Source organism: Homo sapiens, chromosome 3 (assembly GCF_000001405.40).
Source record: "Homo sapiens chromosome 3, GRCh38.p14 Primary Assembly".
In the NCBI taxonomy this organism is placed as follows: domain Eukaryota; kingdom Metazoa; phylum Chordata; class Mammalia; order Primates; family Hominidae; genus Homo; species Homo sapiens.
The window spans coordinates 100,661,512-100,676,321 of record NC_000003.12 but is presented as its reverse complement, the minus strand read 5'-3'; the positions used below and the strand labels follow the sequence as shown (position 1 = coordinate 100,676,321).

Below are 14,810 nucleotides of genomic sequence, written 5' to 3'. Positions count from 1 at the left end.
TCTTGAAACAAGTAAAAATGGAAACACAACATACCAAAACTTATGGGATACAGTGAAAGTAGTACTAAGAGGAAAGTTTATAGCAATAAGTGCCCACATCAAAAAAAATAGAAAAGCTTCAAATAAACAACCTAATGATGCATCTTAAGGAACTGGAAAAGCAAGAGCAAATCAAAACCAAAATTAGTAAAGAAAATAAATAGTAAAGATCAGAGCAGAAATAAGTGAAATTGAAATGAAGAAAACAAAAGATCAATGAAACAAAAGGTTATTTTTAAAGATCAAAAAAATTGACAAACATTTAGTCAGATTAACTAAGAAAAAAAGAGAGAAGACCCAAATAAATAAGATCAGAGATGAAAAAGGAGACATAACAACTGATACCACAGAAATTCAAAGGATCATTAGTGGCTACTATGAGCAACTATATGCCAATAAATTAGAAAACCTAAAAGAAATGGACAAATTTCTACACACAAACAACCTACCAAGATTGAATCATGAAGAAATACAAAACCTGAACAGACCAGTAACAAGTAATGAGACAGAAGCTGTAATAAAAAGTTTCCTAGCAAAGAAAAGCCCAGGAACTGTGGTTTCACTGCTGAATTTTACCAAACATTTAAAGAAGAACTAACACCAATCCTACTCAAACTACTCCAAAAAATAGAGGCAAAGGGAATACTTCTAAACTCACTCCATGAGGCCAGTATTACCCTGGTGCCAAAACCAGAAAAAGGCACATCAAAAAGAAAGAAAGAAAGAAAGAAACTACAGGCCAATGCATCTGATGAACGTTGATGCAAAAATCCTCAACAAAATTCTAAAAAACCAAATTCAGCAACACACTAAAAAGGTCATTCATCATGACAAAGTAGAATTTATCCCAGAAATGCAAGGATGGTCCTACATATGCAAATCAATCAATGTGATACACCATATCAACACAATGAAGGACAAAACCCACATGATTGTTTCAATTGATGCTAAAAAAAATTTTATAAAATTCAACATCACTTCGTGGTAAAAACTCTTAAAAACTGGGGATAGAAGGAACATACTTCAACACAATAAAAGCTGTATATGACGGACTCACAGCTAGTATCATGCTGAATGGGAAAAAAACTGAAAGCCTTTCCTCTAAGATCTGGAACACAAAAAGGATGCCCACTTTCACCACTGTTATTCAACATAGCACTGGAAGTCCTAGCCAGAGCAATTAGATAAGAGAAAGCAATTTAAAAAATCTAAATTGGAAAGGAAGAAATCAAATTATCCTCGTTTGCAGATGATATGATCTTACATTTGGAGAAAACTAGACTCCACAAGAAAAAAAAAAGATTAGAATGGATAAATTCAGTAAAGTTGCAGGATACAAAATTAACATACATAAGTTAGTAGCATTTCTATATGCCAACATCAAACAACCTGAAAAAGAAATTAAGGGCTGGGCACAGTGGCTCACGCCTATAATCCCAGCACTTTGGGAGGCCAAGGTGGGTGGATCACGAGGTCAGGAGATCGATACCATCCTGGTTAACATGGTGAAACCCCGTCTCTACTAAAAATACAAAAAATTAGCTAGGGGTGGTGGCACATGCCTGTAGTCCCAGCTACTCAGGAGGCTGAGGCAGGAGAATTGCTTGAACCTGGGAGGTGGAGGTTGCAGTGAGCAGATGTTACACCACTGCACTCCAGCCTGGGTGACAGAGCGAGACTCTGTCTCAAAAAAAAAAAAAAAAGGAATTAAGAAAGCAATCCTATTTACAAAAGCTACAAATAAAATGCAATACCTTAGAATTAGCTTAACCAAAAAAGTGAAAGATCTCTACAACGAAAACTATAAAACCTGCATGCAACCAATTGAAGAGGACACAAAAAATGGAAAGAGATTCCATGTTCATGGATTGGAAAATCAATATTTTAAAACTGTCCACACTACTCAAAGCAATCTACAGATTCTATGCAATCTCTATCAAAACACCAATGGCATTCTTCACAGAAAAAGAAAAAAATGTTCCTAAAATTTATATGGAACCACAAAAGACCTAGAATAGCCAAAGCTATCATTAGCAAAAAGAACAAAACTGGAGGAATCACATTACTTGACTTCAAATTACACTACAGAGCTATAGTAATGAAAACAGCATAGTACTGGCATAAAAACAGAAACAAAACAGGCAGACATAAAAACAGGCAGAAATAAAGATGTCCTTTGAAACCAATGAGAACAAAGACACAATGTACCCAAATCTTTGGGACACATTTAAAGCAGTGTTTAGGGGAAATTTATAGCACTAAATGCCCACAAGAGAAAGCAGGAAAGATCTAAGATTGACACTGTAACATCAAAATTAAAAGAACAAAAACTATAAATTAAAATTAAGAGAAGCAAGAGCAAACAAATTCAAAAGCTAGCAGAAGACAAGAAATAACTAAGATCAGACCAGAACTGAAGGAGATAGAGACACGAAAAACCCTTTTAAAAATCAATGAATCCAGGAGCTGGTTTTTTGAAAAGATCAACAAAATAGACCACTACTCAGAATAATAAAGAAGAAAAGAGGCCAGGCACGGTGGCTCACGCCTGTAATCCCAACACTTTGGGAGGCCAAGGCGGGTGGACCATGAGGTCAGGAGTTTGGGACCAGCCTGAACATGGTGAAACCCCATCTCTACTAAAAATACAAAAATTAGCCAGGCATGGTGGTTCACGCCTGTAATCCCAGCTATTTGGGAGGCTGAGGCAGGAGAATCTCCTGAACCCAGGAGGCAGAGGTTGCAGTGAGCTGAGATCACACCATTGTACTCCAGCCTGCATGACAGACCGAGACTCTGTCAAAAAAAAAAAAAAGAAGAAGAAAAGAGAGAAGAATCAAACAGACATGGTAAAAAAATGATAAAGGGGATATCACCACTGATCCCACAAACATACAAACTACCATCAGAGAGTACTATAAAAACCTCTATGCAAATAAACTAGAAAATTGAGAAGAAATGGATAAATTCCTGGACACATACACCCTCCCAAGTCTAAACCAGGAGGAAGTCGAATCCCTGAATAGACCAATAACAAGTTCTGAAATTGAGGCAGTAATTAATAGCCTACCAATCAAAAAAAGTAAAAGTCCAGGACCAGAGGGATTCACAGCCAAATTCTACCAGAGGTAAAAAGAGGAGCTGGTACCATTCCTTCTAAAACTATTCCAAACAATTGAAAGAGAGAGAATTCTCCGTAACTCATTTTAGGAGGCCAACATCATCCTGATTCCAAAACCTAGCAGAGACACACACACACACAAAAAAAATTTCAGGCCAGTATCCCTGATGAACATCGATGTGAAAATCCTCAATAAAATACTGGCAAACTGAATCCAGCAGCACATCAAAAAGCTTATCCATCATGATCAACTTGGCTTCATCCCTGGGATGCAAGGCTGGCTCAACATACACAAATCAACAAATGTAATCCATCACATAAACAGAACCAGTGACAAAAACCACATGATTATCTCAATAGACATAGAAAAGGCCTTCGACAAAATTCAACACCCCATCATGCTAAAACTTCTCAATAAACTAGGTATTGATGAAACACATCTCAAAATAATAAGAGCTATTTATGACAAACCCACAGCCAATATCATACTGAATGGGCAAAAACTGGAAGCATTCCCTTTGAAAACTGGCACAAGACAAGGATGCCCCTCTCTCACCACTCCTATTCAACATAATATTGAAAGTTCTGACCAGGGCAATCAGGCAAGAGAAAGAAATAAAGGGTATCCAATAGGAAAAGAGGAAGTCAAATTGTCTCTGTTTGCAGACGACATGATTGTATGTTTAGAAAACCCCATCGTCTCAGCCCAAAATCTCCTTAAGCTGATAAGCAACTTCAGTAATGTCTCAGGATACAAAATTACTGTGTAAAAATAACAAGCATTCCTATCCACCAATAACAGACAAACAGAGAGCCAAATCATGAGTGAACTCCCATTCACAATTGGTACAAAGAGAATAAAATATCTAGAAATACAACTTACAAGGTATGTGAAGGACCTCTTCAAGGAGAACTGCAAGCTACTGCTCAAGGAAATAAGAGAGGACACAAATAAATGGAAAAACATTCCATGCTCATGGATAGGAATAATTAATATCATGAAAATGGCCATACTGCCCAAAGTAATTTATAGATTCAATACTATTCCCACCAAACTACCATTGACATTCTTCACAGAATTAGAAAAAACTACTTTAAATTTTATATGGAACCAAAAAAGAGCCCACATAGCCAAGACAATCCTAAGCAAAAAGAACAAAGCTGGAGGCATCACGCTACCTGACTTCAAACTATGCTACAAGGCTACAGTAACCAAAACAGCATGGTACTGGTACCAAAACAGATATATAGACCAATGGAACAGAATAGAGGCCTCAGAAATAACACCACACATCTACAACCATCTGACCTTTGACAAATCTGACACACACAAGCAATGGAGAAAGGATTCCCTATTTAATAAATGGTGCTGGGAAAACTGGCTAGCCATATGCAGAAAACTGAAACTGGACCCCTTCTTTACACCTTATACAAAAAATTAACTCAAGATGATTAAAGACTTAAATGTAAGACCTAAAACCATAAAAATCCTAGAAGAAAACCTAGGCAATACCATTCAGGACAAAGGCATGTGCAAAGACTTCATGACTAAAACACCAAAAGCAATGGCAACAAAAGCCAAAATTGACAAATGGGATCTAATTAAACTAAAGAGCTTCTGTGCAGCAAAAGAAACTATCATCAGAGTGAACAGGCAGCAACCTACAGAATGGGAGAAAATTTTTGTAATCTATCCATCTGACAAAGGGCTAATATCCAGAATCTACAAAGAACTTAAACAAATTTACAAGAATAAAACAAACAGCGCTATCAAAAAGTGGGCAAAGGATATGAACAGACACTTCTCAAAGGAAGACATTTATGAACCCAACAAACATATTTAAAAAAAGCTCATCATCACTGGTCATTAGAGAAATGCAAATCAAAACCACAATGAGATACCATCTCACACCAATTAGAATGGCGATCATTAGAAAGTCAGGTAACAACAGATGCTGGAGAGGATGTGGAGAAACAGGAACACTTTTACACTGTTGGTGGGAGTGTAAGTTAGTTCAACCATTGTGGAAGACAGTGTGGCGATTCCTCAGGATCTAGAACCAGTAATACCATTTGATGCAGACATCCCATTACTTGGTATATACCCAAAGGATTATAAATCATGCTGCTATAAAGACACATGCACATGTATGTTTATTGCAGCACTATTCACAATAGCAAAGACTTGGAACCAACCCAAATGCCCATCAATGATAGACTGGATAAGGCACATATACACCATGTAATATTATGCAGCCATAAAAAGGATGAGTTCATGTCCTTTGCATGGACATGGATGAAACTGGAAACCATCATTCTCAGCAAACTAACACAAGGACAGAAAACCAAACACCACATGTTCTCACTCGTAAGTGGCAGTTGAACAATGAGAACACGTGGACACAGGGAGGGGAACATCACACACTGGGGCCTGTCGGGGGCTGGGGGGCTAGGGAAGGGATAGCATTAGGAGAAATATCTAATGTAGATGATGGGTTCATGGGTGCAGCAAACCACCATGGCACGTGTATAGCTATGTAACAAACTGGCATGTTCTGCACATGTACCCCAGAACTTAAAGTTTAATAATAAAAAAAAGCTAAAAATAGAACTACCATATGATCCAGCAATCCTACTGCTAGATATATATCCAAAAGAAATCAGTATATCAAAGAAATATCTGCACTCCCGTGTTTTTCACAGCACTATTCATAATAGCCAAGACTTAGAAGCAAAGTAAGTATCCATCAACAGACGAATGGATAAAGATAATGCAGTACATATACACAATGGAGTACTATTCAGCCATTAAAAAGAATGAGATCCTGTCATTTGTAACAACATGGATGGAACTGGAGGTCATTATGTTAAGTGAAATAAACCAGGCACAGAAAGTCAAACTTTGCATGTTCTCAATTATTTGGGACCTAAAGAGTTTAAAAAATTGAAATCCTGGAGATAGAGAGTAGAATGATTGTTACCAGAGGCTGGGAATGGTAGTGACGGGAGGGGAAAGCGGGAATGGTTAATGGGTATTGGTACAAAAATATAGTTAGAATGAATAAGATCTAGTATTTGACAGCACAACAGGGTGATTATAGTTAATAATAATTTTTGTTTTTTTGAGATGGAGTCTCCCTCTGTCGCCCAGGCTGAAGTGCAGTGGTGTGATCTCAGCTCACTGCAACCTCCACCTCCCTGGTTCAAGCAATTCCCCTGCCTCAGCCTCCCAAGTAGCTGCAATTACAGGTGCATGCCACCATGCCCAGCTAATTTTTTTGTATTTTTAGTAGAGATGGGGTTTCACCATGTTGGCTAGACTGGTCTTGAACTCCTGACCTCAGGCAATCCACCTGTCTCAGCCTCCCAAAGTGCTGGAATTACAGGCCGTGAGCCACCACGCCCGGCCAGTCAATAATAATTTAATTGTATATTTTTAAATAACTGAGAGTATAATTTGATTGTTTGTAACAGAAAGGGTAAATGCTTGAGGATATGGGTACCCCATTTACCCTGAAGTGATTGTTATACATTTTATGCCAGTATCAAAATATCTCTTGTACTCCATAAATATATACACCTACTATGTACCCACTAGATTTTTTTTTTTTTTTTTTTTTTTTTTTTTGAGATGGAGTCTCACTCTGTCGCCCAGGCTGGAGTGCGGTGGCGCGATCTCAGCTCACTGCAAGCTCCGCCTCCCGGGTTCAAGCCATTCTCGTGCCTCAGCAGGAGACTACAGGAGGAGATTACAGTAGGAGGAGACTACAGGAGACTACTCCCTAGCTGGGACTACAGGCGCCCGCCACCACACCCGGCTAATTTTTTGTATTTTTTTTAGTAGAGATGGGGTTTCCCCATGTTATCCAGGATGGTCTCAATCTCCTGACCTCGTGATCCGCCCACCTCAGCCTCCCAAAGTGCTGGCATTACAGGCGTGAGCCACCGCGCCTGGCCTAGATTTTTTTAAAATAGTCTCTTAAAGGTAACTAAGATATCAAGATGATATCTCCACCACTGCGTGTTCTGCTACTTTCAGACTAATCCGCACCATACCTGTGTAGTGTTGAAAAGGCAGAATATGTAGCTGAAGACGATCCTGATGCTATCATCATTAACTAGCATCAGGTATGCTAGAATCCAGGTAATTCCAAAAACAACTGCAACAGATAATGTGCTAACAATCTTCTTCATGGATGAAACTTTTTTTGTGCTAGGTGAAAGAAAACAAGAAAAATAATGTGGTTCATTAGGGTTTTACTTATCAACGTCATTATTACTCTCCTATTTAGAATGTATATTCAGCTGCCCATATACATTGTTCACTTAACAATATTATGCCCCAGGTGGAAAAATGATGCTAAGTCTTACATCACTCTGGAGAAAATCTGATTTAGCAAGCTTTATTTTGAATACATTGATACTTGTTTAAAACTTCAGGCAAACACAGCTCCTTAATACTACAGCAGGCAAATTTTAAGAACCAACTTCTTCATTGAAATGGAATTTTCATTTTGTGAATATTACTACAGATCAGCCAATGGAGGAATCCCCTTTTTTGGCACCTGGGAGCTTCCTGAGCCTTAAGTTGATGAGGGAGAGAAAGGTTAGTTAGATGCAGAGTGATCTTCTTCCTCTTGTGGAAAGTCTATGCCCCTGGATCCTGGGCTTGGCCATGTGACTTACTTTGGCCAGTGGGACATTAGCAAATTTATCAAGCAGAGACTTGAAAGCATCTGTTTATTAATTTGCCTTCCCTCACTCCTCTTTAGAACCCTGAGACCACTATGTTAAGAAGCCTGGGCTGGTTTAATGGCAGATGAGAGACTATGTGGAGCAGAGATGAGCTTTCCCAACTGAACAGTTGCTACTAAAACCAACCAAACACCAACCACCAGACATGAAAGTGAGTCATGAAGGATTCAAGATGGCCAAATAGGAACAGCACAGGTCTGCAGCTCCCAGCAAGATTGACGCAGAAGGCAGATGATTTCTGCATTTTCAACGTAGGTACCAGGTTCATCTCACTGGGACTGATTGGACAGTGGGTGCAGCCCATGGAGGGAGAGCTGAAGCAGGGTGGGGTGTCACCTCACCTGGGAAGCACAAGGGGTTGGGGAATTTTCTCCCCTACCCAAGGAAAGCTGTGAGGGTCCCAGCCTGAGAAACTCCCACACAGATACTGCGCTTGTCCCACGGTCTTTGAAACCCACAAACCAGGAGATTCCCTATGGTGCCTGCCTCACCAGCGCCCTGGGTTTCAAGCACAAAACTGGGCGGCCAATTGGGCAGACACCGAACTAGCTGCAGGAGCTCTTTTTTTTTTTTCTTTTCATACCCTGGTAGCACCTGAAACACTTTTACACTGTTGGTGGGAGTGTAAATTAGTTCAACCATTGTGAAAGATAGTGTGGTGATTCCTCAAGGATCTAGAACTAGAAATACAATTTGACCCAGCAATCCCATTACTGGGCATATGCCCAAAGGATTATAAATCATTCTATGATAAAGACATATGCACACGTATGTTTATTGCAGCACTATTCACAATAGCAAACACTTGGAACCAACCCAAATGTCCATCAATGATAAACTGGATTAAGAATATGCAGCACATATACACCATGGAATACTATGCAGCCATAAAAAAGGATAAGTTCATGTCCTTTGCATGGACATGGATGAAGCTGGAAACCATCATTCTGAGCAAGCTATTACAAGATCACAAAAACAAATACTGCATGTTCTCACTCACAGGTGGGAGTTGAATGATGAGAGCACATGGACACAGGGAGGGAACATCACACACTGGGGCCTGTCAGTGGTGGGGGCTAGGGGAGGGATAACATTAGGAGAAATACCTAATGTAGGTGACGGATTAATGGGTGCAGCAAACCACCATGGCACATGTATACCTATGTAACAAACCTCCCATTCTGCACATGTAACCCAGAACTTAAAGTATAATAATAAAAAAAAAAATTAACCAGGTGTGGTGGTGGACGCCTGTAATCCTAGCTACTCGGGAGGCTGTGGCAGAGAATTGCTTGAACCCAGGAGGCGGTGTGGGGAAAAGCAAGAGAGATCAGATTGTTACTGTGTCTGTATAGAAAGAAGTAGACATAGGAGACTCCATTTTGCTCTGTACTAAGAAAAATTCCTCTGCCTTGAGATTCTGTTAATCTATGACCTTACCCCCAACCCCGTGCTCTCTGAAACATGTGCTGCGTCAAACTCAGGGTTAAATGGATTAAGGGTTGCGCAAGATGTGCTTTGTTAAACAGATGCTTGAAGGCAGCGTGCTCCTTAAGAGTCATCACCACTCCCTAATCTCAAGTACCCAGGGACACAAACACTCAGGGACCTCTGCCTAGGAAAGCCAGGTATTGTCCAAGGTTTCTCCCCATGTGATAGTCTGAAATATGGCCTCGTGGGAAGGGAAAGACCTGACCGTCCCCCAGCCTGACACCCGTAAAGGGTCTGTGCTGAGGAGGATTAGTATAAGAGGAAGGCATGCCTCTTGCAGTTGAGACAAGAGGAAGGCATCTGTCTCCTGCCCGTCCCTGGGCAATGGAATGTCTCCGTATAAAACCCGATTGTACGGTCCATCTACTGAGATAGGGAAAAACCGCCTTAGGGCTGAGGTGGGACATGCGAGCAGCAATACTGCTTCGTAAAGCATTGAGATGTTTATGTGTATGCATATCTAAAAGCACAGCACTTAATCCTTTACCTTGTCTATGATGCAAAGACCTTTGTTCACATGTTTGTCTGCTGACCCTCTCCCCACTATTATCTTGTGACCCTAACACATCCCTCTCTCGGAGAAACACCCACGAATGATCAATAAATACTAAGGGAACTCAGAGGCTGGCGGGATCCTCCATATGCTGAACGCTGGTTCCCCGGGTCCCCCTATTTCTTTCTCTATACTTTGTCTCTGTGTCTTGTTCTTCTCCAAGTCTCTCATTCCACCTTACGAGAAACACCCACAGGTGTGGAGGGGCAACCCACCCCTTCAAGGCGGAGGTTGCAGTGGCCGAGATCACGCCACTGCACTCCAGCCTGGGTGACAGAGCAAGACTCCATCTCAAAAAAAAAAAAAAAGTGAGTCATCCTTGATCATTAATAAGCATCCAAGCCCGTCAAGACAGAACTACCCAGCCAACACTCAACTCATGGCAAATAATAAACATTTGTCATTTTTCACCATTAAGTTTTGGGGCAATTTGTTATGTAGCTACTGAACACATGAAAGTTACTTATTAAACAATTAAATCACAGTCTGCTTGTCATTATAACTAGGCTAATTTATGAACCATAGTCTATCAATCAACATTTAGCAATACAAATTTGATTGGTATCTGTGGCCAAACATGATAATTTTTGTATGAAGGAAATATATCCTAATTTGCAATTAGGCAAAGAAGCCTTTACCAAGGTTTTTCTGCATTGCTATTAAACATACTATTTTTTCCTTCCACTCTCACCACTTATGTTCAGTAAACATACTTTTAATGTTTATCAGTGATAATATTTTAACCATATTTCTTCTTAATATGAACTACCGTTCATATAGGAAGAATGATACTTAACCTTGATCTGTAAAGTACATATGTAAGATATAGTCCCACTAGAAAAAGGTGCCCAAGTGAAGGCAACAGGCCACTGACGGCGGAAAGGAAATGAGTGAGTCTTTGGTGGTTTTGATGTTGCTGAAGATTTAGTGGAAAAGCTGAGAAAGTTTCGTTTTCACAAAGAAACAAACAATGCTTCTATTGTAATGAAGATTGAAGGATAAACGCCTGGTGGTACTGGATGAGGAGCTTGAGGGTATTTCACCAGATGAACTTAAAGATGAACTACCTGAACGACAACCTCGTTTCATTGTGTATAGTTATAAATATCAACATAATGGATGGGAGAGTTCCATATCCTCCGTGCTTTATTTTCTCCAGTCCTGTTGGATGTAAGCCTGAACAACAAATGATATATGCTGGCAGTAAGAATAAGCTAGTCCAGACAGCTGAACTAACCAAGATATTTGAAATAAGAAATACGGAAGAACTGACTGAAGAATGGTTATGTGAGAAACTTGGATTTTTCCACTAATGTGAACTTCTGTGTTTCTAAAGTATTTATGTATTGCCCTACCATACTGGAACCAGACATAAATACTTATTTGTGTCTAAAAATGCATTGTTACTTACAGTTTGTTTTCTGCAGTAAAGAAAAATTCTTCATTTGTGCAAAGTTTGATCAAAGATGAAATCATCTTTATAGTAATGAAACTTTGTACAGTGTTTCCTTATATTGGTAATTATTCGGTGGATTACTTTTCTCCATGGACTTTTTGCACTCTTGTGACTAACTTCTATAACTTATGGTTCAGAATTTGTTACTATTTACAGACACCACTGGAATGTGGATATATTAGATTGTGAGAGACAACAGTTGCCTCCTTTTGACAAATACTGGATATTAGCAGTTTATTTATGAAAATAGCTTATTATCACTTGTCAAATCATTGAAATTGATGTGGGGTCAAAGACTTGAGTGACCCAGTATTGAGCCATGAATAATTTACTGTAGTGTAACCTGCATTACAAGTACATTGATCAGTTCTGCATCTTGTTTGGTTTTCTGTATCTTTTTAATCAAGTCTAGAAACTATGTTCATCAATCACTAATTTTTAAGGTTGGGGAGTTAGATTTTATGATAGAATTATGACCGTTAGCTTTTCTCCTTATGGAAAATAGCATCTTAGTCTTAGAAATTGGTGGGTTGTAATAATCAAGGGCTTCATTCCTTTTACGTCATTTCTAAACAGTTTTGCGTCTAGGTTAATAACACTTCATTTATAAAGCACCGCTTAATGTCCTGTGAACACTAGTTATTTTAAATGTGTTAATACTGTGCCTTTGATTTGTTAGCTTTAAAGTTAGTCTAAGACTTTTACACTTCAGTATTCCAGATTTGGTGAAATTAATACTTTTTTAAAGAGTCCAAATAAAATAATTTTCTAATGCGTATATCTGAAATTTATAATAAAATCAACTTCATATTTTAAAAATTCCGACTATCTGCTTGAATTGGTGAATACATGGCAGTCGAGAGTTATAATTTTGGGTATACTTGTGATTAGTTTTGTGCCATAGGAAAAAATTAACTTAAAACTTTGGCCATAGATAATAACGTTAAAACATCAATATCACGTCTTATATCCTAATGGTCAGAAGATATTCTGAACTGGATGCTTGAATAGTTAACTAAACCAGTCTTGTTAGATGATGGTATTCTTGGCATAAAGCAAGGATTCTGTTATTTGGCATACTTATAAAAACAAATATATAAGTAACCATTGAACATTAATTTGATAATAGGTCTAGAGACTCTGAAGACTAACCAAATTTGGTGAGTGAATTCTTATATTAAGAACATCTTAGTCATCTCAAAACTAGCAAAATTTAAATTTTGGCATGTTTTCCATTCGTATGTTCTTTGTATTTTATTTTTGAGGTTTCTGTGAGAAGTAAAGATGGAATTTTCATGATATTGAATAGAACATCTTCTGTTCTCAACCTTGGCTTCACTAATTTAGAAGTCAGCAAGCAGTAGAAAGTTAGTTGGAGATGAGAAAGTTCTAGAGTAGGTGTTTGTTTTGGTTCTTGGAGGCAAAAGAATCTTTATTCCAATTTCCAGAGAGAGAGAAAACCCACCCAGGAAGTTTAAGAATTCTTTAAACAGGTATTTTGATATTGGATAATAACATGCATATAATTCTGTAGAAATGCAAATGTAATCCAAGTGAGTGGAGAGTGTTTTTAATGTTTTTGAATGAAGGAAATGAGGTTTAGGTTTTGATTCACCTGGTTTGCAGCAATAAGAGAAACTAGTGCTGCAATAATGTATTTTTAAATGAAGTTCCTTATTTTTTCTTGCATGTTTTAGTTTTATTTTTAAATTTGGAGGTCCTCCATAATGTCAGATAATATTGACCTGCCGTACATTAGAACCCTTAGTTCCCCTACTCTCTTTAACAGGAGCTAAGAGCTGTGATAAACCATGCTTTTTTGAGCTTGCCTGACTCCTAGTCAATAACATGTTTTTTGCAACACAACAGATTGAGGCTAGAGGATCAGTAGGACATTTTTATTTTATCTGTTCTATGGGGAGATTTACAAATCCCATGCTCTAAAATGTTCTCAAACATTTGTATAGATTTCCCTTTCATCTTACTAAATTTTGCATTGTTCTTTTCAAGTATATTTCCTATTTAGTGTCTTTTTTCTGCCATCCCCCGATAATAACTCCAGGTTTCATAATTCCAGTTTTTTGTTTTTTGTTTTTTTCATAATTCCAGTTTTTACATTCTGTATCTTTCTGGTACAACCATTCCCATTCAACCTTAATCATTCTTTCCTTTTTGGCAGCAACTTTTTTCCTGGGACCCTCCTTCATGGTCTTCTAAGTCAGCACTAGTTTTGAAATTGTTGGCCTTGCATAAGTTCTGCATAGCATCTAATGTCAAGATAAAATCAACTGGTAATCACAGTATTATTTAGTGTGGTTTCCATGACAACAAAAACACATATGAAGAAAACTTCTCAGGTTACTATGCTGAAATTCCAAAATGGCTGAGTTTTTAATAGTGATCACTTTGTTCTGGTGTTGATGCTATTATATTAGCAAAAAAGTTGGTTGACTGCTTTTGTTTAATTGACTTCTAAAATAAATGTTCAAATTGTCTAGTTCTAAAAGTTTACTAAATGCCTAATGCAGTTAAACATACTGTTAAGAGCGTGTTGCTAAATTTTTTTACTGTCATTACTAAATAATCTGTGTGGCAAAATGTGTGTCAGCACTTTTCCCTCCCCTTTTATCTCCCATTTTCAGGAGTCAAATGTAGCCATAAACTGTATCCTCGTCTGACACTTTAGCTAAAAATTTCCAGTTAGGGGAGTTTATTGCCAAATTAAATTTGGCTGTTTCCCCCCAACCCATATAGATACTAAGGAAGGTATACTTAAAAAAATGTTTGAACTACTTTTAAAACCTGAGCAATGTCATTAATCCATATGTGGACTAGTGATGAATAGATATTTTCATAAAAGTTTAAATGCTGATATTTGGTGGAAGTAGAGGGTAACTTGCATTCTATAAATTCAAGTATTCTTACTGTGGTTGCTTTCCTTATTTGTTCAATAAACTGATAATACTGGAATCTATAGAGTTTGAGCCATTACAACTTCTGTGAGGATGTATTTCAAACATTTCTGGACAAATCTTATTTTGTATTTCTGAAAGAATGTAATAATCTTCTAGCCACTTAAAACCAATGGTCCCAAGCTGAATATTCTTGAGAAATTTGTTTTTATTATGCCATTTGACATTTCAAATCAGTGCTCATATACAGTAATCTTGTGATAGAAATTGTATTTTCTTGCTTTTTGGAGTATAATTCATGTAAATATAATTACTTGAATATTGTTTGAGATCATTAACATGCCAGGGCAGTTCCCACTGATTTCCATGGTCCAATATAATCTCATTCAGGAGGCTTGAAACATTAATGGTTTAGTCTTGTGAATTTTAACAGTTCTCTGTCATCATTTAAAAAAACCAACAACTGGCACAATTTCTTAAGCT

At 38.0% G+C, this 14,810-nt stretch overlaps 1 protein-coding gene and 1 pseudogene across 3 annotated transcripts in view; one reads left to right on the top strand and one right to left on the bottom strand.

The window, feature by feature from the left end:
- ADGRG7 (adhesion G protein-coupled receptor G7) overlaps window positions 1–14,810 on the bottom strand; it is an 85,879-nt gene that overhangs the window by 19,158 nt on the left and 51,911 nt on the right. For all 3 annotated transcript variants that reach the window (NM_032787.3, XM_047449088.1, NM_001308362.1), the window contains one exon: window positions 7,217–7,373. In NM_032787.3, the coding sequence (NP_116176.2) occupies window positions 7,217–7,373 (157 nt within the window). The remainder of the gene's footprint in view (window positions 1–7,216; window positions 7,374–14,810) is intronic.
- GMFBP1 (glia maturation factor beta pseudogene 1) lies at window positions 10,800–11,472 on the top strand (annotated as a pseudogene).